We start from the raw sequence: 23,613 nt of genomic DNA on the forward strand, positions 1-23,613 counted from the left end.
GTGCCCCCGCAGAGTGAGGGCTGGGGGTCACCCCATAGGCAGGGGAGCCCTTCTGGGAGGGAATTCCTGCTTAGGTGGGAGGTTGACCTGAATGACATCTAGGTCCTCTACCTCCCAGATGCCGAATTTTCAGGGAAGGAACCAAATGGATGTATGGCCCATGCCTGGGTTTGAATCCCAGTTCTGGCCTTCATTCCTCCAGGCCTCCATTTCCTTGTCTGCACTATGGGGCCATGGTGAGAACTCTGAAATAACACCAACTGCCTGGTGCTTGGTAGGTGCCACATTACAAAAGCGGTGGGAAGGAGGCCCTTTGGTTTCCATGTCGGTGGTCATGTCCCACAGTCCCCGTTGCCATCCTGATTATGGAAAACTTCATTTCATGCTCCAAATGTTCCTCAATTCCTGGCACTGTTCTAGGTCCTGCACCCAGGCTGGTATGAAAAAGGTGCCGAGAAGGTCCCATGCATCACCAGCCTGGAGGTAGCAGCAGAAGGGAAACCAGTGCCTCTGAGAGTGGGCAACTGTGCCCCATCCACCTCCTCTTCTTCTTGGAGATCTCAAGATAAGACAAGAGACATCAACCTGGGATTGGGTTTCTGGGCAGAGAGTAAAAGTGAGCTCCTTCTGCCTGTGCACGCAGCTTCCCTCGGTACTGGGATAGCCGAGATCCCTTACTAGAAGCAGCTCACAAAACCTCCCCCAGTTACTGGGATAGCCCAGACACCTTCCTAGGGCAGCAGCGGAAGAAAGAAGGGGACAAAATACCAACGACCAGAAAGAAGAAAGAACTTAGCCTCAGTCACCAGCCACTGGGAGCTGATAGTAACTGAAGGGATGGAAAGCCCTCTGGGACAGTTTTAGTGGGAGCCCTCCAGAGCCTGGAGAGACTGCAGGTGGAGCAGGAAGGTGGGGAAGAATTAGAGCAGTGACCCCGGCCACTTTTGGCCTCACGGTTCTGCACAATGAGACATTGCTCATCTTCAGAGAACCGTGCCATTCTGGCCATCTGGCATCCTAGACAATTTTCCACTGTCTCTCAGTATCCAGCCATCCAGCCATCTAGCCTCCTAACTACTTCTCTGTGCTGGTCCAGCCCAGTGCTCAGAGTTAGGATATTTTTATGAATAAAACAGACCTAGCTTCTGCCCTCGTGGAGCTTACAGCGTGGGGCGAAAGGAGACTGATCAAAATGCCACACACATGTAATTTACAACCTTGGGAAGTGCCAAGAAGGGGAAGTGTTGGGTGCCACTGAGAACATTCACAGAGGTTAACCTGGGGCTGAGGTGGAGGAAAGGTCAGATGGAAGCTGTCTAACCACCCTGGGCTTCTGGCTTAGGATGTGTAGGGCTAGCAGCTCAGCCCATGAGGTTGTGTCTTGAACTTGGGTATTGATGGAATAGCTATAGAAACAGAACAACCATGAAGTGAAGATGGTGAATGAAGATCCTCTCATCAGCTTGCGATTGCATGACAGAGGAGGCTGCAAGGACACTCAGGTGTGAAGACGGGTGAGTTGCCAGTTCTGGAGTGCAGATGTGGTTACCAGCAGCCTCTGTTTTGGAGGCTACTCTGAAGCCATATTCAGCTTGGGAGGCCTCCTGCAGGGTTGACCCAGTTCTGGAACAAACCAAGGTGTTTGGGTCTGAACCAGGGCCTGAGCAGATCCCATCCCATATCCAGCTGAACTGTCTCACCCAGTCTGCATTGAGTATCGGTCCCAAGTGGAGGCCACAGGAAGAAGTGCTGTTCCCTAGTGGTCTTAGATGCTTCATCAGCTAAAGCGTGGGGCTCAGTCTCCTGGTGTCCACCTGTAAAATGAAAGTGGTGTCCCAGAGTCTCTCCAAAGCTCCTTGTGGTGACTCTATGGTCCTAAGAAACCGTTCACTTTATAGGCCTATCTCAGTGCACAGCTGATGCCTCTGATGCAGGGGTGGCTGTGGCTGTGCTGCCGCTCCTATGGGGGAGGCATCCTGGCCAGCACGCTCTTTGCACCTGATGACTCCCTACGGCAGCTGCACAGCACTGCAGTTAGAAGCCCAGGCCACGTGGATTTCAGCCCCGGCCCTACCACTCAGTAGCTGTGTGACCCTGGGCCAGGTGTTTGACCTCCCAAGGCACCCATTTCCTCATGGAGGTAATAATAGTATCTATAACCTCAGTTTACCACACGGATGAAAAGACAATGCATGTAAGGGTTCCTCCGCGGCACCTGGCTCAGTGAGCAATCTGTAATTGTGAGCTGTTGTCATTAAGAGGCCGTGGGAACACTAGTCGGTGGTGTGTATATCCAGGGGTGGGTGTTGCTTCTGGCATCTCTCCTAAATTCAAGCTGATGATGAAAGTCATCAGAGAGACAGAACAAAATACCCCACAAGCTATGACAAAAGGAACCTGTATTTCATAAATCAGAGAAGAGTAAAGGACAGAGACCAAAGCCAATAACTAGTGTTTAAACATGCAGAGAGAAAGAGAGACAGAGAGAGAGATGTTTCCTCTGCCTTCCACTACCATGGGCAGGTGGGAAATACCACCGACCCTGGGGACCCTGGGATGGTCCCTGAGTGGGCCGTGTGCCAGGAGCCTGGCCAGAGAGCCAAGAGTGGTCATGGCCCCCTGGGAGTTCTACTCTTTTCTAGGCAGCAGCAGTGACTGAGACCTTGTACACAAAACTCATTCATTCAATCAGTATTTATCTAGGACTTCCAGAAACAGTGCTAAGCTGTGCTGGAGAGTGATAGTAAAAAAGACACAGTCCCTACCAGCGAGAGACATTGGGTCCAGCTGATGAGTAAGACAAGCCAACAGAGTAGGGCAACAAGACCAGGATCCCTTCGGGGCATTACTGAGCACACGGCCTCGGTCTGGAATTCTGGACACATTCTTCACCTTAACTGGGGGTGCATTGGGGATTTAAAACCCCCAAGAGCCAGGGATCTTTCCCACCCAAGCTAATTTCTGGGCAGCTGTGCCACTGCAGGGCATGCAGAAGGAAGAGAGCCTTCCAGAGGAAAGTCGCCTTGTTCCTTGCTTTGTGACCCTCATCTCTGCGAGGTAGAGAAGAAAAGGAGGGCTCTTCCATCGGGAGCTTCCAAGGTTCCGGGTGAGAGCTAGCCAGCTCTGCATTTGGAGCAGAGAGAGGTAAGCGGCCCAAGCCTGCTGAGCCTGCGAGGTGCTTCGGGAAGGGCCACTCTGGAAAGCATTATTTATAGATCTGACTGTTTGCCCACTCTTATCTTGAAGACAGGAATTTGGGACACTAGGTCACAAGTTGGTCTCTTCCTTTGTCAGCAGTCCATTCAACATGGCAATGCCCACACCCACCTCACAAGGCATGGATGACACAAAGAGATGGCTTGCCTGCAAGAGACCCAGCTGGTCTGGAGTTGGAGGCACACTTCATTTCTCTGCCCAGCTCGGCAGGCGGCTGGAGCAAACCAGGAGATCGCCTCAAATGTTTTAAATGTCAATATGGTCCCTTCTTGCTGGCTTGCCAAGATTTGACCAGCTAAATTGGCCTGTGTGGTGTGTTCCCTGCAGTGCACGGTACGAATTTAGATCTTTCATCAATGCTGTAAGGGAGGCTGGACAGCCGTCAACAGCAGCATGCAAATTCCCAGGGATGCTGTTCTGAAGGCTTCCACCTCCATCTTGAGAGCTACTTCCTGTCTCTTTGGGGCTTCAGTTTCCATAAAGGCCCTCATTGAACCCTTGGGCCCTAATTGGATTGGGGAAGAGACCAGTCCCATTTGGGAGACCACAGTGCCTTCAGCACCCTTGGCAAACTTCTTGGGTGCTGCAGTCCTGCCTAATGCCAGCCTTCTAGCAAGGCCTAGGGCGGGTCTGTCATTCCCACAGTGTCATATGTGCCAGGGGACAACCTAAATTGTGAGCTACACTCACCTAGACTACCAGAGGGCTTCACTTGCTCAGTCATTACTCAGCCAGCCGGGCCACGTGGACTATTTTCTACTGACTTTGCCTCTCTCCCATCACAGGGAGGCAAGTGAGAGAGTAGGAAGGCGTTGTTCTTCTCTAGCATGGTCCACTGTCAGGAGGGGAACACCAGCCCAGCATGAGGAGAGTGACCTGGGGGCCGAGGGTGATTTTTTTCTTTCTTTCTTTCTTTTTGAGACAGAGTTTCACTGTTGCCCAGGCTGGAATGCAGTGGCACGATCTCAGCCCACTGCAACCTCCGCCTCCCGAGTTCAAGTGATTCTTGTGCCTCAGCCTCCCGAGTAGCTGGGACCACAGCTGTGCACCACCACGCCTGGATAATTTTTGTATTTCAGTAGAGATGGGGTTTCACCATGTTGTCCAGGCTGGTCTCGAACTCCTGACCTCAGGGGATCTGCCCGCCTCGACCTCCCGAAGTGTGAGGATTATAGGCAGGAGCCACCTCGCCTGGCCCCGAGGGTGCTTTAGTTTTAGAATCTTCTCATTATAGGTGTGGTTGAATGTTTCTGGGACCCAAGCTGTCACCAGGAGCTGGCCCCGTCATGACAAAATAATTCACCCCTTCCAATCTACCCTTCCCCAGATGAGATAAAAATGACTGGGCATCCAGATTAATGACTGGATCACATGCAGGAACGTACTGGCTGTGAGCAGCCCTGGGCCAGGGCAGAGGTGAACTTGACAATCATGTGGACGCTGGCTTTTGATTACTGCTTCTTCTGGGCTCACGCTACCCAGGGCTCTCTTTAGACCATCTCTAGGTGAACTTTCTGCCCCAGGAATGATCACCTCCATTTTACTGGTGAGAGGTTCAAGGACTTCCCTTCCTTCTTTCCTCCCTTCCCCTTCTCTCCACTTCCTTCTCCTTCCCTCCTACATCATTTTTCCCTTTCCTTTCTTCCTCCCTTCCTTTAGCAAATAGCCCTGGAGCAGCTGACCGGTTCTAGGAGCTGAGAACAGGGTGATGGGTAAGAGGGACAAGGGCTTGCTCTCACGGTGTTTACATTCTAGTGGGGGCAGGAGACAAGTCAACAGATCAATAATTTCAGATAAGAACAGCTGCTCTAAGAAGAACAACTGGGGAGTGAGATGCAGTCCACTTTAGGCCGGTGGTTGGGGACGGCTTCTCTTGAGAGGTGGCATTTAGGGGACTAAATGGTAACAATGAGCTGGCCTTGGGCAGGTCTGGGGGCAGAGCCATCAGTGCCAGGGCACAGAGCTAGGAAATGCAGAGCAGCTGGTACCCACGACTGGTCTTGCCTGAACCCCTAATCCTTGCTCTTTCTGCCACATCCTGCTTTCCCACTTGGCCAAAGAATTGTGGTTGGCCAAAGGTGGGGCTAAGCTGTGCAGTGGGAGGGGCCAGGCTGAGCTGGAGGTGGCCAGGAGCCTCCTGGTACAGGGCCCTGGTGCCAGTGTCCTCACCCTCCCAGAATCCTGTTCATTTGTGTTGAGGACATGGGGTGAAGGATCTGAAAATGCATGCGCAGGCAGACGACCCACCCAGGCCATTCACAGCCGCAGCAGTTTGGGACTCTCCGCTTGGCCCAGGTAGGGAGGCACTTGCGGTCCTTCCCAGGCCTGCCGTGAGGCTCCAGGGCCAGCGCCTATCCCCAGCCCCAAGGAGGCACTCCGAAGAACCTATTTTAAATCTCAGCTCAGCATTTTTGGCCAACTTACAGAGAAGCTGCAAGATGAGTAAAGGAACTTGCCTATATTTTTTATCTAGATTTACCAGTTGTTGACATTTGCCCATCTGCTTTGTCATTGGTGCTCTCTCTATTCTGTGTGTGTGTGTGTGTGTGTGTGTGTGTGTGTGTGTGTGTGTGTGTGTTTGTGTTTGTTTTGAGATGGAGTCTCCCTCTTGTTACCCAGGCGCGATCTCGGCTCATTGCAACCACCACCTCCCGGGTTCAAGCAATTCTCCTGCCTCAGCCTCCCAAGTAGCTGGGATTATAGGCACCGGCCACCACGCCCGGCTAATTTTTTGTATTTTTAGTAGAGACGAGGTTTCACCATGTTGGCCAGGCTGGTCTCAAGCTCCTGACCTCAGGTGATCCGCCTGCCTCAGCCTCCCAATATGCTGGGATGACAGGTGTGAGCCACCGCGTCCGGCCTTCCCACATATTTTTTTCTGAACCATTTGAGAGTCCATTGGAGACCTTGTGCCCTTTCTGCCTGCATACTTTGGGGTAGTGTGTTTTCCCTGAGATCAAGGACAAGATCTTACACAACAACCACAGTGCAATGGCCAGAATCAGGATGTTTAACATCAATCCAATACTGTTGTCTAACCCACAGTCCAGATGCCGTTTTCTCAGTCTCCTCAATAATGCTCTTTATAACTCACTTCTCTTTTCTGTTCCAAGAGCAAAGGATCCTGCGCTCATTCTGCGCCCTCTCCCTCTGGTCTCCTTTGCGCTGGGCAGGACCTTGGCCTCTCTCTGTGTTCTTTCACCTTGGCTTCTGAAGAGTACGCATCTGGGATTTCTTCGTGGTTGGATTCGGGCGCTGCGTTCTGGCGGGAAAACCGCTGGAATGACACTACGGACTTCTGGGTGCGGCTTCTCAGTGTTGGGAGGCCCACGATGGCAGTTTGGCCCATGATTGGTAACACTGGCTTTGATCCTTCCAATGTGATTTTTTTTTAACTTTTATTTTAAGTTCAGGGGTACAAGTGCAGGTTTGTTACGTAGGTAAACTTGCGGCGTGGAGGTTTGTGGCATAAATTATTTCATCACCCAGGTATTTTTTTTTTCTTTTTTGAGACGGAGTCTCGCTCTGTTGCCCAGGCTGGAGTGCAGTGGCCCGATCTCCACTCACTGCAAGCTCTGCCTCCCGGGTTCACGCCATTCTCCTGCCTCAGCCTCTCGTGTAGCTGGGACTACAGGCGCACGCCACCATGCCCAGCTAATTTTTTGTATTTTTAGTAGAGACAGGGTTTCATCGTGTTAGCCAGGATGGTCTCGATCTCCTGACCTCGTGATCCGCCCGCCTCAGCCTTCCAGAGTGCTGGGATTACAGGCTTCAGCCACCGTGCCCAGCCTCACCCAGGTATTAAACCTAGTACCCATTAGCTGTTTTTCTTGATCCTCTCCTTCCTCCCACCCTCCACCCTCCAAAAGACTTCCGTGTGTGTTGTTCCTTTCTATGTGTCCATGTGTTCTCATCATTTAACTCCCACTTATAAGTAAGAACATGTGGTGTTTGGTTTTCTGTTCCTGCGTTAGTTTGCTGAGGACAATGGCCTCCAGCTCCATCCATGTCCCTGCAAAGGACGTGATCTCTTTCTTTCTTTTTTTTTTTTTAGATGGAGTTTCAATCTGTCACCCAGGCTAGAGCACAGTGGCACAATCTTGGCTCACTGCAACCTCTGTCTCCAGGATTCAGGTGATTCTCGTGCCTCGGCCTCCTGAAAAGCTGTGACTACAGGTGCACACCAACACGCCTGGCTAATTTTTGTAATTTTTTTTTTTTTTTTTTGTGAGATGGAGTCTCGCTGTGTCGCCCAGGCTGGAGTTCAGTGGCGCCATCTCGGCTCACTGCAAGCTCCGCCTCCCGGGTTCACACCATTGTCCTGCCCCAGCCTCCCAAGTAGCTGGGACTACAGGCACCCGCCACCACACCAGGCTCATTTTTTGTATTTTTAGTAGAGATGGGGTTTCACCGTGTTAGCCAGGATGGTCTCGATCTCCTGACCTCGTGATCGCCCGCCTCGGCCTCCCAGAGTGCTGGGATTACAGGCGTGAGCCACCGCGCCTGGCCTAATTTTGTAATTTTAGTAGAGATGGGGTTTCATCATGTTGGCCAGGCTGATTTCGAACTCCTGGTCTCAGGTGATCCTCCCGCCTCAGCCTCCCAAAGTATGGGGATTACAGGCGTGAGCCGCCGCACCTGGCCCACGTCGTTCTTTTTTATGGCTGCCCAGTGCGGTGTTTTTGATTCGCACCATTTCCCGCCTCCTCTGGGCCTTTGTGTCTTCCTCGTCGTTGTCCTGGGCACCCCGGTCATCCTGGGTGCTCCTCGCCTGCTTCTGTCTGTTTCTGTTATGATGTTTCTCTGGTGTTTGGTCCCCGACCCTTTGGCTTCCTGACCTCTGTTTCTGTCTCTGTCTTTATCTCTGCTCTTCTCTTGGTTTCCTCTCTCCCTGCTGCCGCCTTCTCCCTTGATTTTATCCCTGTCTCATCCCTTTCTTATTCTCTCTCCAAAACACTGAAATGTCCATGACTGCAAGTGCCACATGGATCAACCACCAGGTTAACCTACAGCTAAAGACTGCAAGGTGCACCCTCTGGTTCTCACTTCTTTCCTAAGAGGATTAAAATGGAAGTGAGGAGAGTTCCCTCTGCGGAGCTGGACCTTGGAGGCCTCATACTCTACCCTAGGCGAGACTCATCCAGGAACTCATCTCCAGGCCCAGGAGAAAGGGCTGGCTTCAGGACCAAGCATTCCATAGGAAAGCTCCTCTCCCTGCCATCTAACTGCCTTCTGCCCACCCATAGGTCCTCTTGCACAGGAGGGCACACAGACCCCTACTCCCCTGTGGACCTAGGGCTGAGGTTCGCTGTGGTTTGGCTACAGCTGAGCAAATACTGTCTGTCTGCCTGCCAAGGCAGAGTCAACTCCCAGCTCTGAGGTTAGCAGGTTTCTCACCCTTTGAAGGACGGGGCCCACAGCAGCCTTCCTCTCCACTTGGTGGTCACCGGATTGGAGGAAGACCAGACCCTCACATCTTTCTGGGTTAGGCCCCAAACCACAGTCTGGAGAATGGAAGCCAGACCACGGCCCTCTAACAGCCACACTTGACCACTCACTCACTGCTTCGGCATTGAACTTTGAATTATGTTATCATCATTCCTATTACTATACCTAATTTTATAGCTGGTAGACAGGTAAACACTGTTCCTGACTGGAACTCAGATATCCACTTGTGGGCAAAGAATGGTCTCTCTTGCCCAACGATGATGTCTTGGCAATGACATCATCATTGCCAAGGTGATGATGTCAATCATTCACCTTGATGTTGACTTTTGTCTTTGGGGCCTCACTTTCCCCATTGTAGAACAAAGGGCTTGGAATAGAAACCCCCTGGTCCCTCTCTGTTCTGAGCTTCCAGGAGCTATCACTCCACCATCAATGGGCCAACCCTTTCCTCTGGGAGGGGCAGATGACTTACACTCCCCGTGGAGCTGACCCTGCGCCGTCCCTGGTCTTGGTTATGATGATGATTTGGTATGTTTGTGTGTGTTTCCCTCCTGGACCAACCCCTGGGACTTCCGCCCTTCTGGTTCCTCTGCAAACATTTGTTTTCATCTTAGTCTATGGAACAAGACATCACTAAGGACCAGAGTGATGCAAAAGACAAAGGGGAGAAACACTCCTGGCCACCCTGTCTAGTTCTTCCTGCTGGGCCAGGGGCTGCTTAGCACCGTCTCCAGCCTCAGGCCCTCAGCAGTCTCAGGGCTCGCCAGCTGCAGGTTAGGGAGCAGCTCAGAGGTTGGCCTACCTTTTCTTTGCCTCTTCAGGTGACACAGCTCAGGGGATGTCAGAACCAAGGGCCTGGAGAGCTCACACTCCACCCAACCCTCTCCTTTTGCAGATGAAAAACCCAAGGTCCAGAAAGGGGACGCAATGGCCATAGCAGCAGCAGAGCAGGGACTGAATCCCAAGGCTGATGACTTTGACTTCGGTGCTCCAGCATTCGTCTTCCCTGGATTTCTCAGCTCGCAGGCTCGATAACTCTCTTCTCTCCCCAGACTTGTTGGCAGGCAAGAGGAATAACTCATGTGAGTCAAAAGCAATTTGCAAACATAAATAATTTTCAATGCCAGGAGAGGAGACGGTGGGAAGATGCATGGAAGGTTGAGAGGAACACAGCCAGCCCCAAGTCTCCCTCGCCCTGCTGGGCACTTCCTCTTTCCACCTCGGCGCTGGTGGGAGAGTCGGAGTGCGCCATAAACAAGGCAGGAAACGGCTATCATGATGCTCACTTCCGCTCTTCCTAGAAGGGATTCTGCTCGGCAATCTCTCCACTCCCCACCCCCTGCCATGCACAGGATTTTGTACTCCCAGCTCCTCTGGAGGCTCAGAGGAGGAGATGGTCCTGCTGCACTGGCCCAGCCTTCCTCTACCTGGCTTGTCTTTTTCCTTGTCCTCAACCCCAAACAGCAAGTATCCTAACAAAGAATGGATAGTACACTATTATTTTTGTGACATTCATCTCAGTGTCATATTCCAAAGGAGCTTGACATTAATTGTCCTGTTCCTAATTTGGACACTGGTTTACGAAAGTGTGGTGACCACTGGAGACTGTTCTCTGACAGTGTAACAGGTATTCGCCCCTTTCCCCAGGGTACTAAGACTCACGTGGCCCTGACAGCCAGCACAGTCTCTTAGGAGGTTCCGGAGGGTGGCAGTGGGAATGAGCGTAGAGCCGTGTCATTTCGGAGGGCTGAGTGCATTCCACACATCTTCCCAAAGCCCACCCCAAGAGGCTGTCTAACGCAGGGGGAAACAATGAGAAACCAGATACCATGGAATTAGCAAAGAATTTCTCAGATGAAACAGGAAAGGGAGGAAATCCAGAGGGGTTTACATTACACCTGGCTCAGGTTGAAAGGATTCAGGGCCAGTTGTTGGCAATATTAAACTCCAGGCTGCGTTTGAAAGGGTCCTTCACTCGGGCAGCCAAAGAGAGGCGTTCCTGCCAGGATAGGTTGCATCGCTGCAGATCTCCAGCCCTACGTGCATACACACGTGCACACACACGTGTACACACACGTGCACACACATGTATGCACACACATGTATGCACACACATGCATGCACACACATGTATGCACACACATGCATGCACACACACGCACACACATGCACACATGCATGCATACATGCACACACGCGCGCACACGTGTGCACGCACATGCATGCACACAGACACGCACACGCACACACATGCATGCACACACGCACACACATGCACACACACGCACACACGCATGCACACACACACATGCATGCACACACGTGCATCTTGGATATCTCTTGTTAATGTCAGCCCTCTGCCCCAAACTAGATTTGAAAACTTGTAGGTAATCAAGTTTTCTGGTTAAGAGAAATAATCCCAGCCAACAGTTAGTAAGCTCTTATGTGTCAGGCCTTATCCAAACAGTTCACACGAAGACCAGATCCAAAAATAAAAGTGTGCTTTGTCCTCTGTGTGTTGCTGTGTGTGTGTGGGGGGGGGGTCACATGCACACCCACATCTCTGCCACCCTGAGTTGCGTGTTAAAGCTGCCTACGTAAGGGTAAAGTGGTTGCCATGCTGTTAGAAACGTGTAACATGTGTCTGGGCATGATGGCTCATGCCTGGAATCCCACGAATTTGGGGGGCTGAGGCAGGTGAATCACTTGAGCTCAGGAGCTCGAGACCAGTCTAACCAACATGGCAAAACCCCATATCTACTAAAAATACAAAAATTAGCAGGGCATGGTGGTGGGCACCTGTAATCCTAGCTACTCGGGAGGCTGAGGCAGGAGAATCACTCGAACCCGGGAGGTGGAGGTTGTGGTGAGCCGAGATTGCGCCATTGCACTCCAGCCTGGGCAACAAGAGCGAAACTCCGTCTCAAAAAAAAAAATAAAGAAAAGAAAAAAATGTATAACAGGTACCACTAGGCTAAATACAGAAATTCAACCATGAGCCTCTGGAACTTACTCCAGGATTATCCTTAGGGTCTGTTTCCCCAAATTCAATTACTACATAATTACCTGGAGTCTCCTGAAATTCTCACCAATGGATCAGGTGGAGAGCCAGGGGGCAGCAGGACCCCAGAGCAGCTGAGCGTGCACATGTCTGCTCTGCCCATGGTGGGGAGAGAGGGAACAGCCTCTGGGATGAGAGGGATGAGTCTCCTAAATGCTGGGGCTCCTGGGGGCAGCCCTGGGCCCTGGGTTTGTGGGTGATGTTAACGGCTTGCAGAGCAGGAACTGGCTTCTCTGCCTGAAAGCCCCAGTCTCTCTCTCTCTCTCTCTCTCTCTCACACACACACACACACACACACACACACACACACACACAGTTCTATACAGACACAAGGCATTGGATTCTGAGGTTTCTATTTAAGAACTGTGCAGGAGCTGAGGGAGTGCAGAGGACACCAAGACACACTGTTTTCCTTTCAGGAGCTCCAGGCTCTGTCTAGTTGGAGAATCCAGGCCCATATGCATATATGGGTGTTGGAATGTGCAATTGATTGACAATGAGTAGTGGGCGGGGGTGGGGGGCAGTAAACAGTGAATACATCAATAATTCAGCAGAGCAGGCCCTGGTAAAGGCTGGAATAATCTAGAACAACCTCAGGGAGGGGATGGGGCCTGAGCTGGCCTCTGAAGGACTCACAGGACCCTGGAAATTGGGAGCAGGACGGACCCTGAGAGGCGGATGATGCTAGCTCTAAATCCTTCTTTCCTCATTGACTGGCTGTTTGACCTTGGGCAGGTTACTCAAGGCCTCCATATTGCCACCTGTGAGAGAGGGACAATGACATTCCCCACCTCACCAGATGTGAGGATTTAATGAGATAATTCCCCTAAAGTGCTTGGCACATAGTAAGCTCAATCAATGTTAACTGTTATCATTTACTGCAAAGGGAAGAGAGGAGCAGGAGGAGGGAGTTGGGGGTGTGGTGGCTGCAGGAAGTAGACACTTGTGTCCAAGAATAACAACCTTCAGTAGGATTTCCTCTGCCCAGCAGTCACCTTCTCAGAGGAGCAGCCACCAGAACACAGAGCCAGAGAATACGCTTATTTGGAGAAGAAAGAAGATTTGATTTTGTCCAAGTGCAGGCTTGCCAATTTGCGGCTTGTCCTAACTCTCCTGTCCCAATGTCACTCTTAGGGACCCAGGATAAAGTTGGGGAGGCTGAGGCTGAGGTTTCAGATCCACAGATAATCCCCCCAGCAGGAACTGAGGGAAGAAGGCAGAGAGCTTTAGAGAGGGGGAGAGGGGTCAGGAGAGTTCTTTAGAGAGGGGGAGAGGGGTCAGGAGAGTTCTTTAGAGGTAAATATGACTGTGTGTCCATGCCTCAGTCAAACTAAGACTCCAGGCCAGAAATCGTTAGAAGACATTTAGATCTGACACAAGATGTTTAATGTTCCCTGGTGAAAAAATAACCTGTGTGTTTACTTAGGGAGTTTTCCAGGAGTGCTTAAGGTTCTCTCCCAACCCAATTCATCTTCACCATCTTGGCTCATCCTTTAAGGTAACCAAGAAATGGAGCTGTGGACAGGTAAAGGTTCTCTGGTGAGGGGAGTTGGTGCACCAGCCATCTCCCTTGTTTGCTCTAGAAGTTTGCTGTTTGGTGCTGGCGGGAGTCGGGGAGGAGCCCAATGTGGGTCAAATGGCAGAGGGACCCATTCTGGTCTCCCCCACTTCTCTGGGTTGTATCGCATGCACAGAGAACCTGAGAACTCCCACCCAGCCCCCACTAAATACCAGGTGAGGACCCTACCATCATGCAGTCATCCAGCAATTGTTCTATGCCTGACAACATACAGTATCATAACCACAGTGGCAGGACAGGTGGCTTTCAGCTTCCCATGCCTTCTCTCTCCTACTGGACTAGAACATCCCTGTGGGCAGGGACTGACCCTGTTGACGACTCAGGACCAAAATACGGCTTCCAGATAAAATCCAGGATGGCCAACTAGAGTCTGAATTTTACATAAACAACACATCCTTTTTTTAAAAAAGTAGAAATATGTCTCCAGCATTTCATGGGACAACTTCCACTAAAAGATTATGCATTGTGCATCTGAAATTCAAATTTCACTGGGCGCCCTAGATTTTTATTTGCTCAGTCTGCCAACACTGGACCCAAAGCACCCTGGATCTGTGGATCTCCTCTCCGCTGGACCCAGTGGGATCCAGGGATGGAGCAAACGCTAAAGGGCCGAACTTGGCTCTTCTGCAAATGAGCTGGGGGAGGGGCAGGCTGCACGGAGACCAGAGACTGGGGCGGGGCTGGGGTAGGCAGGGCTCGCTTTTCAGGGGTGGATACACAAGTGCTCCTCTCTCTGCCTGGGTGAGCTCCAGCCTGAATGCTGGAGGTTCAGCCCCATTAGAAAGATTCATTTTGAGGAAAAATAAAGACCGTGGGCTTGCTAGTGTGCAGGGTTAAGACCTAGCACCCTGCTTTCCTTCTCTTCCCTGAGCTTGGGCTCAAAGAGAGGTTTTACTACCCTTTGCTTGTGGGCACTGAGGGACATCCAGGGTTAGGAAGAGGCCGTCTACACCCAGAAGAACTGGGGCACCTGGACTCTCCCCACCCCAAAGACCCTTTGAGGAGAAACCCTCCTGTCCCTGGCCCCCTTGGAGCATTTCCAAACCCTTAACACCTTCGAAAGCCTGTGTCCAAGAGGCCCTGGGGCAGGTGGCCATGGCGTGTCTCCCTGCAGGTGGTGGAGCAGCCAGCTGGGCTCTAGAATGAGCATGGAACCTGGGCAGGCTGTCTGCCTATCAGGACCTCAGACTCTCCTCCCACAGGGAAGCCCAACCCCTGTGGGGACTGAATTGAACAAGAGTCACAAGCCCAGTGGCACCTGACATGTCTCAGAAGGGTCAGCAAATGTCCCTTTCGTCTAGGGACAGAGGGGGTCTCGGACCCTCTAGGGACAGAGGGGGTCTCGGACACTCTAGGGACAGAGGGGGTCTCGGACACTCTAGGGGCAGAGGGGGTCTCGGACACTAGGGGCAGAGGGGGTCTTGGGCACTCTGTTGGGTCTGGCACCAGGCTGATATCCCAGCAGCTCTTCCTGACCCACCCGTGGCCTCTGCCCGTTGTCTGCCTTCTGACCTCAGGCTTCAGGCTCTGCCCAGGACCACCCTTCTCCACTCGAGGGCTCTGCTAGCAGGCCTGGTTTTGAAGGCCTCAGGCCACCTGCAGGCCACACCTTTCCAGGAATGGTAGTGGAACGGTTTCCTTCCCTGTTCTGCGGGAGTGCCACCCTCTACCTCCCCTCTCCCACCCCCAGACCCAGCCAGGCAGAAGCCACCCACAGGGTGGGGGACACCACCAAGGGCTAAGGGTCACTCTGGTCACCAACTGTGGGCCTGAACAAGAGGCTTCCCTTCCCCTCCCGAGTCTTCAGTTCTCCTCAGCTAGAAAAACAGGGAGACGACGTCCACGCCTGGCATGGGCCTTTGTGTACCAGCCGGTGAAGGACAGGCCCAATTCTCGTGCCCAGCAGGCAGTTTGCCAGAAGCAAGATCACCCTCCTTCCACCCCCGGGGTGGCAAAGGACATTCATTCCGTGGAGGGGGAGGGGACTGTGTAACTCACTCTAAATGGGGCTGGGGTGACCGGGGAGTGGGAGGGACCACTCACAAAAGCCAGGGCTAGAAACTCCCAACGGCTTTTTTTTAAAGAACTTCCCTTCCCCCTCCCCTCCCCATGCTGGGCTCCCCTCCCCCACGTCCAGCCGCTGGTGGCCTGCAGCCAACACTGGCCACACTGTCCGCATTCAGGCCTCCCCGCCCTCCTGGCCCTCATCTCTCCCCAGCCTTCCCCACACTGGCTCTCTCGCCACCTCGCCACCCCCCACCACTCTGAACCACGTTGACCTCTTCCGCCCTGGCGCCCCGCACAGACCCGGGCCCCTTGGTCCCAGGCGGGCAGGGGAAGGGCTTCGGAGGCCGGGAGCAGCCCCGCGCCCGCCAGGCCCCCAGCCCCGCGGTCCCTGGCCCTGTGCGGCCACCTCAACCAGGAGGAAGATCGCTGCGTCTGCAGAAAGCTGGCCACCGCCGCCGCGTTCCCGGGTCGCGGCTTCCTGGCCCGCTGAGCCGCACCCCGGAGTTCGGCCCAGTCCCGTCGCCCCCTCTGGGACCTTAACCCCTTCCTCCCCCGCGACACCAAGGGCCTTGGCCTTGCCACCCTAAGGGAGAAGGGTGAGGAGTCCCAGCTCTCCTCGCTAAGGAAGTGGGGGTGGCAGGCCTCGCTCCCCCGCCCTCCTCCCCGTCCCCATCCATCTCGCAGGAAGCCCCCCGCCCCCCACCCCGGCAGCGCTCGCCGCGCCTCTAGTGGGAGCCTCTGGCCTGGTGGTTTCCGGGGAGAGAGCCCGAAGAGCAAGGGCCTCGGCAGCTTCCTCAGTGGGGCAGGGCCGGCGATGCCAGCCAGGGACGCCGGAGAGGCTGGGGGTCCCCGCCCCGCGGAACCTGCCCTACCGGGCGCGATTATTAAGAAGGAACCTCCCTGCCCCGCCAGGGCTTGCGCCTGGGTGTGTTGAGCCCCAGGGGTGGAGGCTACGGGGGAGGAGAGCCAAAGGTCAGCCGCTGCCCAGTGGGTGCCGCGAGGGAGACTAGCCCCACCCGCGTGTCCGCGCCGCCCACCCCTGCACCCCCTCCTCCCCTACCCAGAACCCAGGGTTTGCCAGTGCCTTGGGCACCGCCGGCCGGAAAGCCCTGGGGGCGGGGACGGCTCCCACACCCACCCCCCCGCAGGAATTCCCCTTCCCAGCCGGGCGCCTCTCGACTTCCCAGGGAGCGGGGTCACCCTCCTGCGCCGGCGCCGCGGCCCGCAAAACCAGCCCACTTCGCTGGTGCAAAGGTTCAGCACAGGGCTCGAAGGCGGAGTTGGTGGCGAGAGGGGTCCGCTCATCTCAAACAGCGAAAATGCACCTTCAACATCTCCATTTAATATTTACATTCAAGCAGGTAATAGTTGGAAGCTTATAGTTTAGACATTTCTAGTAGCAGCAGTTTCTAGAGAGCTCGTGTAGCCTTTTAACAAACTTTTTTTTTTTTTTTTTTTTGCACATAGAAACAAGACATCCATGTGTACAGTATCAAAAAATATATACCAAGGTTACTGGTATTGCAGTTCGTGGAAGGGGAAGAGAGGGGAGAAAATGAAATCAACCGAAATACTGGATGGAGGGGAAGAAAGGTCAAAAGAAAATAGTTTGTCTGATATAGAATATAACATGATCTAGAGGAAACTCCATAAATCTAGGTTTTTATATTTCAATATATAAATACCTACAAATAAATATATATATAGCAGCCCGAAGGGGGGTGGTCGGGCCTTTTGAGCTCAAACAATACATTTCAATAATAACACCACGTACAAACGGGAGTAGAGTCAGCACTTGACAAGTTAGCACGGTTAAAATATAATACTAGAACTCTGAGGCCGGGCGCAGAGCTGCCCTGTCCGTTCCGGGGGTCCATCTCCAGCGGGGAAGGGCAGGAGAGGGCGAGCCCCGCCGGCACCGCGTGGAAGGGGCCTCCGCCCAGGTCTGACAGCCGCCGCAGGGGGAACATGGTTACCTCCGCTCCGGGCGTCCTCACCCTGGGGGCCAGCCTGGGTCTCTCGCGGTTGGCGGGTTGGCGAGAGGGGAGCCCGCCCCGAGGCCCCAGGTGCTCAGCTCCCCGCCCCCCCGCGGGAATGGCGCTTCCCCTTCCGACGCCCTCCGGCTACACCGTCACGTACTCCTTGAAAGTAACGGTGAGGCAGTTCGCGGTGACGTCGGTGATAATTATATTCCCAAAGAAGGGCTTGAACTCGCTCAGCGACTCTGCAGGTTCGTCCTGGGCCTCGGCTGGAGGCTTCTCCGCCGTCGTGGTGGGTGCCGCTGCCGCCGCCACCGCCACCGCCGCCGACGCCGGTGTCTCGGGCTTCACCTGGAGGGAGCTGGGCGGCTCCCCGGCCTCGCTGCGCGTCTTGACGCAGCGCAAGTCTATGGGTTCATCCAGGTCTGAGTCTAGCAGGATGACCTCGGGCTGCGGGAGGGCGGCGGCTGGTGGCAGGTCGGCCGGGCGCTCAGCGGCTGGGCTGCCCCCCAGGCAGGTGGGGGTGCTGATGCTGCGCGCAGTCAGCCGCTTCTTGCAGGGCTCGCGCTCGCCGTGGGTCTCGGAGAGGCAGCGCTTGCGCACGTGGGAGAGATTCAGGCCGACGGCGTGGTGGTGGTGGTGGTGGTGGTGGTGGTGGTGATGGGGGTGCGGGTGCGGGTGGTGTGAGGGCGGGTGCGTGTTCCGGGCCGGGTCCCAGGCAAGCAGGTCGGGCTTGGTGGTGAGCTGCAGGGGCTGCTCTCCAAAGGCCTCCTTGGTCGGGGACAGCTTGCGGGAGCCGGCATCCTGGGGCTGCGGATCGCTAACCCCGGACACCTCCTCCTCCCTCCTCTTGGGCGGCGCCTCCACCTTCTTCTCCTCTGCGCCCGCCGCCTTTTTAAAAGTCCTGTCGGCAGGAGGGTGGCGCTCGTCGGCTGCCCGCTTCTTGTGGCTGGGGGAGCGAGCCTCCCCCTCTGCCACCTCGCCGGACTTGATCTTCACCGCCTGCATGCCGTTCTCCATGTATTTGCTCATCACGATCACGATGCGTCCGTTCTTGTTCTTGTTCTTGACTATCTTCATCTTGCCCCCAATCCCGTTGCCCGTCACAGCCTCTTTGGGGGCCGGCATCATTCCGTTGGGGGGGCCCTTCTCGGAGCCTTTGCCTGGAGCACCCGCCGCACCGGCCAGGGGCTTCACCGCCCCCAGGTAGCCTTTGGCCCCCGCACCTTGCGCCCACTTGTCGGGCGGGTGGCTCTTGGCCCCCAGGTCCGGGCAGGTGGGGCTGGGCGCCTCCTTGTGGCCGCCCTGGTACTGCAGGTCGTACATTTTGGGGTCGGGCTGGTAGGGGTGGTGCTTCTTGCTGTTGAGCTGGTAGTAGTACTTGCCGCTCTTGCCCGGCGGCGGGGGCTTGCCCGCCCGCTCCTTGCTGTGCGGCTGGTACTGGTGGTGCTTCTTGCTGTTGAGCTCGTACTGATGCCCCTGGCCCTTCCCCTGCGCGCCCAAATCCAGCTTGGCACGGTTGTCAGTGGAGGAGTCCTGGAGGCCGGTCAGGACATTGGAACGACGGGCAAAGGTAGGCACCTGAGGGAACGGGTGCAGGGGTGAGAGGAGGGAGGAGACAGCCCCACCGCATGCCGGGAGTTTCTGGAGCGTCCCAGCCCCCACCAGGTCCGCAGCTGCCTCATGGGGGGCAGGAGGTGGGAGGTCTAGTAGAAAGGGAACAGGGTCAGGGTGCTGGGAGGAACCACCACCACCCCCCCCATCCCCAGGCCTGGAGGCAGCTCTGGTGGCCATGTCAAGGGGGTGCCCAGGGGCGGCCGTGTGTATTCACCTGCACCACTAGCGGTTTGGGCTTCGGCCCTCTCTTCCGATATCCCATCAGCTGCTCCTGCCGTTCCCTGGGTGGGAGGGAACAGAGGGCAGTGCTGTTAGCCTCAGGGTCGCCCCCTACCCGCTAATTCCGGAATCTTCTGTGATGCCCCCCCCCCCGCTTCAGAGAGCATCAGGTAGGGCTGGCCGGACACAGGAATCAAGAGTTCAGGGCAGGTCAGGCCTCTGCGCCCTTAACCCTCACACCAACCCTCCTCTGCCCAAGAGGTCCTGGGCAAAGGGCTCCCCCACTTTGATGCCCACACCCGAACCAGCACCCCCCCAAGCCCCACCTCTGTGCTCAGGAGGCAGAAGCTCAGGGCTGCACCTCTGGCCCTCCTGCCCACGGCCTTGGGCCTGTGGCTCTGTGCGAAGCAAAGTGGACACGGGGATCCAGGGAAGACAAACCAGCCCAAGCGAGGTGTGCGCCGACCTCATCCCTCCCGTCAGAAGCGCGGGATGCTAATGACCTCATTAAGATTCCGATAACGAGTGCCTCCGGCAGAAGGGAGGGCCCTTTCTTAAAGGCCAGGCACTAAACAGGGGGAGGGGCTGCGCCCTTGTTTACACAGCGGCAAATGAGCCAATTAGGGGCTGGGGGCGGGGGCGGGCCACCAAGGCCAGGGTGTGGCCAGGTTTGTGGCCACCTGGTGAACGCTGCGCTCCTCCCAGCTGAGCAGGTGGGCGTGGCCGGAGCAGCTTAGAGAAGCACCGCCTCCTCCTCGGAGTCTGGCTCCTGGCTGCCTCAATTTCCAAATAATGAATAAAGCCCATGGGCGGAGGCACCGGTCACTACAGCCACCAGGCTCCTGCCTGCAGGCCAGCCTAAGGGTGATCCACAGCTGGGGGCTGGATCTTCCCAGGCACTACCCAGCCCTCCACGGACGAGTGGGATGCCTCTCTAGTGTCTGCCAAAGTTGCAGCCCATTCCTGGGCCGGAAACGGGTTCCTCACAGACCCTAGCTACCACCCCCATGCCTCCTTGGACCAACCCTGGGGAGTTCTGACATGCCCCAGGGCGGGGGCCGGGGCCTGACTCTGAAGTTGCGTGGCATTGCGACAGCCTGCGTTTTAATTCTTCAGGGACCCATTATGCAACGTGGCATCAGCCGCTGACATGGTTACAGGGTGGTGAACTCCCAGGTGGAATGGGGCAGGATCCCAGCTACGTGCCCCCCCTGCATTGCGGGAGGGCAACTGCCCTGCCCCGCCGGTGGCTAGCTCAGAGGGTCTACAGTTTACAGTTTTAGCGCCAAACGCGCCACAGGAAATAGTGCAAAATAAAAGGGGGAGGAGAGATGGAAGGCAGCGGGGTGGCCGAGCTCCAAGGGCCCCGGCTGCTCCTCCCCTCCTCGCCCTTCCCCCTTCTACCCTCTCCGAAACAGAGAACCACAGCCACCGGCGACGAACCCAGCTGCAGCAGCTGCAGCGTGACAAGCAACCGTGCGCACGAGGATGAGTCCCCCAGAAGAAGCCACCCCTCCACCACCAAGCAGCGCCCACCCCAGGCCCTTGGGCCAAGCCCCCCTGCCTTGAGGGTGGGTGGCCCTGCCCTGCCAAACAGCCCAGTGGGGTCCGGGGCGGGGGGCAACCCAGCACCCTATGGAATCTACTCCTGACCAAGCTTAAATTCCCTGGGGTGTGCGGGTGCAGCTTTTAAGGCCATGTCAACTTTCCTCCAGCCGCCAACAGGTTAAGTTCAGTTCCATGACGTCCGGGCGGTTTCACAATGCCAGCTCCCTCAGAGCTGCACCGCGAGGTGCTGGTGCCAAGCGGCCAGTGGCTGCAGGACAGCAACACCTAGGCTCCGGGGGTGGGGCTCCCAGGTTGCAACAGGAGGGGCCCCTGGGGAACCAGGCACAGCCCCAAGTTCTCCGGGCAGCTGCATGGCCACCCACACACACCCTTCCCAAACTTCCCCCAAAACCCAAGCCTGGCCTTCCCTGGCCTTGCCCCGCCCCCACCCCAAGCTGCAGCAACCGCCAAGGACGCTGGTTAGAGGAGCTGGGGCCGCAGCGTGCCCATCCAGGCCGGTTGGGGAGGGGGCTCCCACCAGCCCCCTCCACGCCCCTTTCCTATTGCTGCGTCGCCCACTTTGCCATTCCCATATACGGTCACGGGTGGCAGGCGGTGGCTGCGTGGGGGACGCTCACCTGTTCTGGAAGGCGATCAGCAGCCTGGGGTCCAGGATGTTCTCCTCCGGTTCCCACGTGTTATATCTTGCAAGGGAAAAGGGAGGGGGACACGGTGTAAAAAAAAAAAAAAAAGCCACCTTTGCCGCGGCCTCCAGGTGGGGAGTGACATAAGGCCCTACTCTGTCTTTATGAACATTTAGCCGTGGATGTGGAAGGTAGATTTCCGCAGGCCTGACGTAGTCCCTGATACACAGCCCCCCCCTCAAATAAACACGCAAGGGCAGGAAGAAAGGGGAGGGGTAAGGAAAATGAAACTAGCAGTTTATTTTGCAGTTGTCAAGAATTTTAAGCATGTTACTGCGACATGTTCCAAAGCCACTTTGCTCACCAGGAACCCTGCGTGCAAAGCAGCCGAAATGCAAAGTCGCAGTCCCCCTCCTCTCCCCAGCCCCGAGTCCCCGCGAGGGCTTCAGCCGTTCTCCATTTGACCCCTAATCCGATAGCCAACAGCCAAGCGTCCCCCCCACACCCCCTCGTGGCCCAGGAGCCCGCTGTCACGGGCGAGCAAACCCCAAATACTCAGCAACACAAAAATATGCCTCCGTGTGTGTGTGTGAGTGTGCGTGTGCCTGCGCGTCTATCTCCATCCGGTGCCTTCGCATTTCAAATTAAAGAAAAAAAATTCTCCACCAAAAGCGCCGCAGTGACAGTTCCCAACATTTTCTGCCTTTCTTCTTCCCCTCCCTGCACCACTAGGAGGGAGAAGGCACACAATTGCATTTTCGTCGCTTTTTAATTTTTTTTTTTTGGTTTTGCAATATGGAGCCGTTCGGTGGAGGGAAAGGGGAAAGGAGCCATTTTCTGCTGCACATCAGTCAGTGCCTGCGCCCTCCCTCCCTCCGCCGGCCTCCCCGGCTCGGCCCCGCGTCTCTCCAGCTCCTCCGGCTCCTTTTAGTGCATAAATTAGTGATGGCATTTCCCGGAGAGCGGAGCACAACACAGGGCGCCGGGCTCGGGCTCGGCGGCTCGGCTTCCCCAGTGCCTGCCACCGACTTCCCCACCCCCTCCTCCCTCCACCCCACCTCCACCCCGCCTCCCGTCCGCTCCCCCCACCCCCCCAGCAGCTCGGCGGGTCCGCGGCCCCGAGCCCCGCGCCTCGGCCCCCGGGCCCCCGCCCTCCGCCGCGACTTACTTGGGCGACCAGCCTCTCCATTTCACCAGATACTCCACTCTGCCCTGGGGGGAAGAGACAGCACTCCATCAGCTTCCGCGGGATCCCCGGCCCGGCCCGCAGCCTCCCCACCCCCTCCCCGCCTCCTCGCGGGCCGCTCCGGCCGCCGCTCGCCGCCCCCGCGCCGCCCTACCTTGCGGATCCGCTTCTTCTCGATGCTCTCCACCGCGAAGACGTGCTCGCCAACAGCTGGCAGCTCCATGGCCGAGCCGGAGCGCGCCGGGGCGCTGGCGGCCGGCGCGGCTGCAGACGCTGCTAGCTCCCGCCGGCGCCCAGCTGCCGCCCCGGCCGAAGCGCCCCCGCCGCCGCCGCCGCTCGCCCCGCACAGCCCGGCCGGCCCGCCGCTGCCCGCGCCCGCCCCGGCTCCCGGCTCGCGCTCGCTCAGACAACTGAGCCCGGGCCGCGGCTGCACAAGAACTCATGCAAATCCCGGACGTCAGCGGGCGGGGCCTCGCCGGGCCCAGCTCGGCGTCAGGGGGCGGGCCGCGGCGCGGATTGGCGCAGCCGGGCCTACCGGAGGCCCCGGGCCTGGGCGGCGGGGGGAGGAGGAAAGGGCGCGGGTGGGGGACGCGGAGGGGAGGGCGCCGGGGAGGTGCAGGGGGAGGGATCGGCGAGCCTGGGAGAGGGAGGCTGCAGAGAGGGAGCGGGACCGGGAAGGAGAGGTGTGTCCGCCGGGGCGGAGGCGGGCGGAGAGCTTGACAGCCCGGAAGGGTCTCGGCGGCGACCCCTCGCCCACATCCCGGTGCCCGGGCCTCCCCCTCGCGGCACGTTCTCAGTGTTCACGGCCCCGGGACCCCTGCTGGGGGCCACGGAAGCATCCGCCGCCGCTCCCAGTTGCACCGAATTGCGTCACCAGCGCCCCGGGACGCGCGGGCCCCGCCGGCAGGGGGCGGAATGGGGCAGGGGCAGCTCGCGCCCCACTGCGGGCCCCGCCTCGCCTCCAGGCTCCGGGCATTTTGGAGCGCGAGGAGGGAAAGGGACAGGGCGGAGAGAAGGCCGAGGACTGGGTGCCAAGGAGAGATTGAAGAACGCACGAGGAAGGGGACCGAGGAGCAGCCAATCCCGGGGCCCTGGCGCCCAAGAACCTC

General features: G+C 56.6%; 1 protein-coding gene and 1 long non-coding RNA gene across 3 annotated transcripts, besides 13 other annotated features; one reads left to right on the forward strand and one right to left on the reverse strand.

Annotated features, from left to right (window-relative positions):
• Positions 1-6,927: 6,927 nt before the first annotated feature.
• Positions 6,928-11,180, forward strand: LINC01977 (long intergenic non-protein coding RNA 1977). Its single transcript, NR_146504.1, has 3 exons — positions 6,928-7,014; positions 7,271-7,350; positions 9,560-11,180. It is a non-coding gene; the product is annotated as a long intergenic non-protein coding RNA 1977 (long non-coding RNA).
• Positions 9,862-10,138: a silencer, noted in NCBI's record as "fragment chr17:77800185-77800461 (GRCh37/hg19 assembly coordinates)". NCBI's record gives its function as "represses an EF-1alpha promoter that drives an FKBP-Casp9 reporter gene in an ReSE screen in HepG2 liver carcinoma cells {active_cell/tissue: HepG2}" and the evidence as "EXISTENCE:reporter gene assay evidence [ECO:0000049][PMID:32094911]".
• Positions 10,328-10,829: an enhancer, noted in NCBI's record as "H3K4me1 hESC enhancer chr17:77800651-77801152 (GRCh37/hg19 assembly coordinates)". NCBI's record gives its function as "activates a minimal SCP1, AML or CMV promoter by ChIP-STARR-seq in primed H9 embryonic stem cells {active_cell/tissue: H9 hESC(primed)}" and the evidence as "EXISTENCE:reporter gene assay evidence [ECO:0000049][PMID:30033119]".
• Positions 10,830-11,329: an enhancer, noted in NCBI's record as "H3K4me1 hESC enhancer chr17:77801153-77801652 (GRCh37/hg19 assembly coordinates)". NCBI's record gives its function as "activates a minimal SCP1, AML or CMV promoter by ChIP-STARR-seq in primed H9 embryonic stem cells {active_cell/tissue: H9 hESC(primed)}" and the evidence as "EXISTENCE:reporter gene assay evidence [ECO:0000049][PMID:30033119]".
• Positions 15,350-16,171: an enhancer, noted in NCBI's record as "H3K27ac-H3K4me1 hESC enhancer chr17:77805673-77806494 (GRCh37/hg19 assembly coordinates)". NCBI's record gives its function as "activates a minimal SCP1, AML or CMV promoter by ChIP-STARR-seq in naive H9 embryonic stem cells {active_cell/tissue: H9 hESC(naive)}" and the evidence as "EXISTENCE:reporter gene assay evidence [ECO:0000049][PMID:30033119]".
• On the reverse strand, positions 16,632-22,916 carry CBX4 (chromobox 4). Of its 2 annotated transcripts, NM_003655.3 has the most exons (5): positions 22,659-22,916; positions 22,487-22,530; positions 21,313-21,378; positions 19,122-19,188; positions 16,632-18,871 (listed from the first exon to the last, which is right to left on the reverse strand). In NM_003655.3, the coding sequence occupies exons 1-5, from the start codon at positions 22,725-22,727 to the stop codon at positions 17,435-17,437; spliced, it is 1,683 nt and encodes a 560-aa protein (NP_003646.2). In that variant the 5' UTR covers positions 22,728-22,916; the 3' UTR covers positions 16,632-17,434. The 2 variants fall into 2 exon arrangements, with proteins under 2 accessions (NP_003646.2, XP_011523701.1); XM_011525399.3 differs by lacking the exons at positions 21,313-21,378; positions 22,487-22,530; positions 22,659-22,916 and adding an exon at positions 19,453-19,656.
• Positions 18,499-18,548: an enhancer, noted in NCBI's record as "active region_12922". NCBI's record gives its function as "activates an Ori minimal core promoter by ATAC-STARR-seq in GM12878 lymphoblastoid cells {active_cell/tissue: GM12878}" and the evidence as "EXISTENCE:reporter gene assay evidence [ECO:0000049][PMID:35858748]".
• Positions 19,464-20,285: an enhancer, noted in NCBI's record as "H3K27ac-H3K4me1 hESC enhancer chr17:77809787-77810608 (GRCh37/hg19 assembly coordinates)". NCBI's record gives its function as "activates a minimal SCP1, AML or CMV promoter by ChIP-STARR-seq in naive H9 embryonic stem cells {active_cell/tissue: H9 hESC(naive)}" and the evidence as "EXISTENCE:reporter gene assay evidence [ECO:0000049][PMID:30033119]".
• Positions 20,656-20,705: a silencer, noted in NCBI's record as "silent region_9092". NCBI's record gives its function as "represses an Ori minimal core promoter by ATAC-STARR-seq in GM12878 lymphoblastoid cells {active_cell/tissue: GM12878}" and the evidence as "EXISTENCE:reporter gene assay evidence [ECO:0000049][PMID:35858748]".
• Positions 20,746-21,040: a silencer, noted in NCBI's record as "tiled region #202; K562 Repressive non-DNase unmatched - State 2:TssF". NCBI's record gives its function as "represses a minimal TATA promoter and a strong SV40 promoter by Sharpr-MPRA in K562 cells {active_cell/tissue: K562}" and the evidence as "EXISTENCE:reporter gene assay evidence [ECO:0000049][PMID:27701403]".
• Positions 20,756-20,835: a silencer, noted in NCBI's record as "silent region_9093". NCBI's record gives its function as "represses an Ori minimal core promoter by ATAC-STARR-seq in GM12878 lymphoblastoid cells {active_cell/tissue: GM12878}" and the evidence as "EXISTENCE:reporter gene assay evidence [ECO:0000049][PMID:35858748]".
• Positions 21,026-21,075: an enhancer, noted in NCBI's record as "active region_12923". NCBI's record gives its function as "activates an Ori minimal core promoter by ATAC-STARR-seq in GM12878 lymphoblastoid cells {active_cell/tissue: GM12878}" and the evidence as "EXISTENCE:reporter gene assay evidence [ECO:0000049][PMID:35858748]".
• Positions 21,108-21,931: an enhancer, noted in NCBI's record as "H3K27ac-H3K4me1 hESC enhancer chr17:77811431-77812254 (GRCh37/hg19 assembly coordinates)". NCBI's record gives its function as "activates a minimal SCP1, AML or CMV promoter by ChIP-STARR-seq in naive H9 embryonic stem cells {active_cell/tissue: H9 hESC(naive)}" and the evidence as "EXISTENCE:reporter gene assay evidence [ECO:0000049][PMID:30033119]".
• Positions 21,932-22,753: an enhancer, noted in NCBI's record as "H3K27ac-H3K4me1 hESC enhancer chr17:77812255-77813076 (GRCh37/hg19 assembly coordinates)". NCBI's record gives its function as "activates a minimal SCP1, AML or CMV promoter by ChIP-STARR-seq in naive H9 embryonic stem cells {active_cell/tissue: H9 hESC(naive)}" and the evidence as "EXISTENCE:reporter gene assay evidence [ECO:0000049][PMID:30033119]".
• Positions 22,803-23,512: a silencer, noted in NCBI's record as "silent region_9094". NCBI's record gives its function as "represses an Ori minimal core promoter by ATAC-STARR-seq in GM12878 lymphoblastoid cells {active_cell/tissue: GM12878}" and the evidence as "EXISTENCE:reporter gene assay evidence [ECO:0000049][PMID:35858748]".

This window comes from Homo sapiens, chromosome 17 (assembly GCF_000001405.40).
Source record: "Homo sapiens chromosome 17, GRCh38.p14 Primary Assembly".
NCBI lineage: Eukaryota > Metazoa > Chordata > Mammalia > Primates > Hominidae > Homo > Homo sapiens.

Coding starts and splice junctions, on each gene's coding strand:
- CBX4 (NM_003655.3), bottom strand. CDS start 22,727: ATGGAGCTGCCAGCTGTTGGCGAGCACGTCTTCGCGGTGGAGAGCATC. Junction 21,379..22,486: donor TGGAGAGGCTGGTCGCCCAA/GTAAGTCGCGGC, acceptor TTCCCTTGCAAG/ATATAACACGTGGGAACCGG. Junction 18,872..19,121: donor CCAAACCGCTAGTGGTGCAG/GTGAATACACAC, acceptor CCGTTCCCTCAG/GTGCCTACCTTTGCCCGTCG.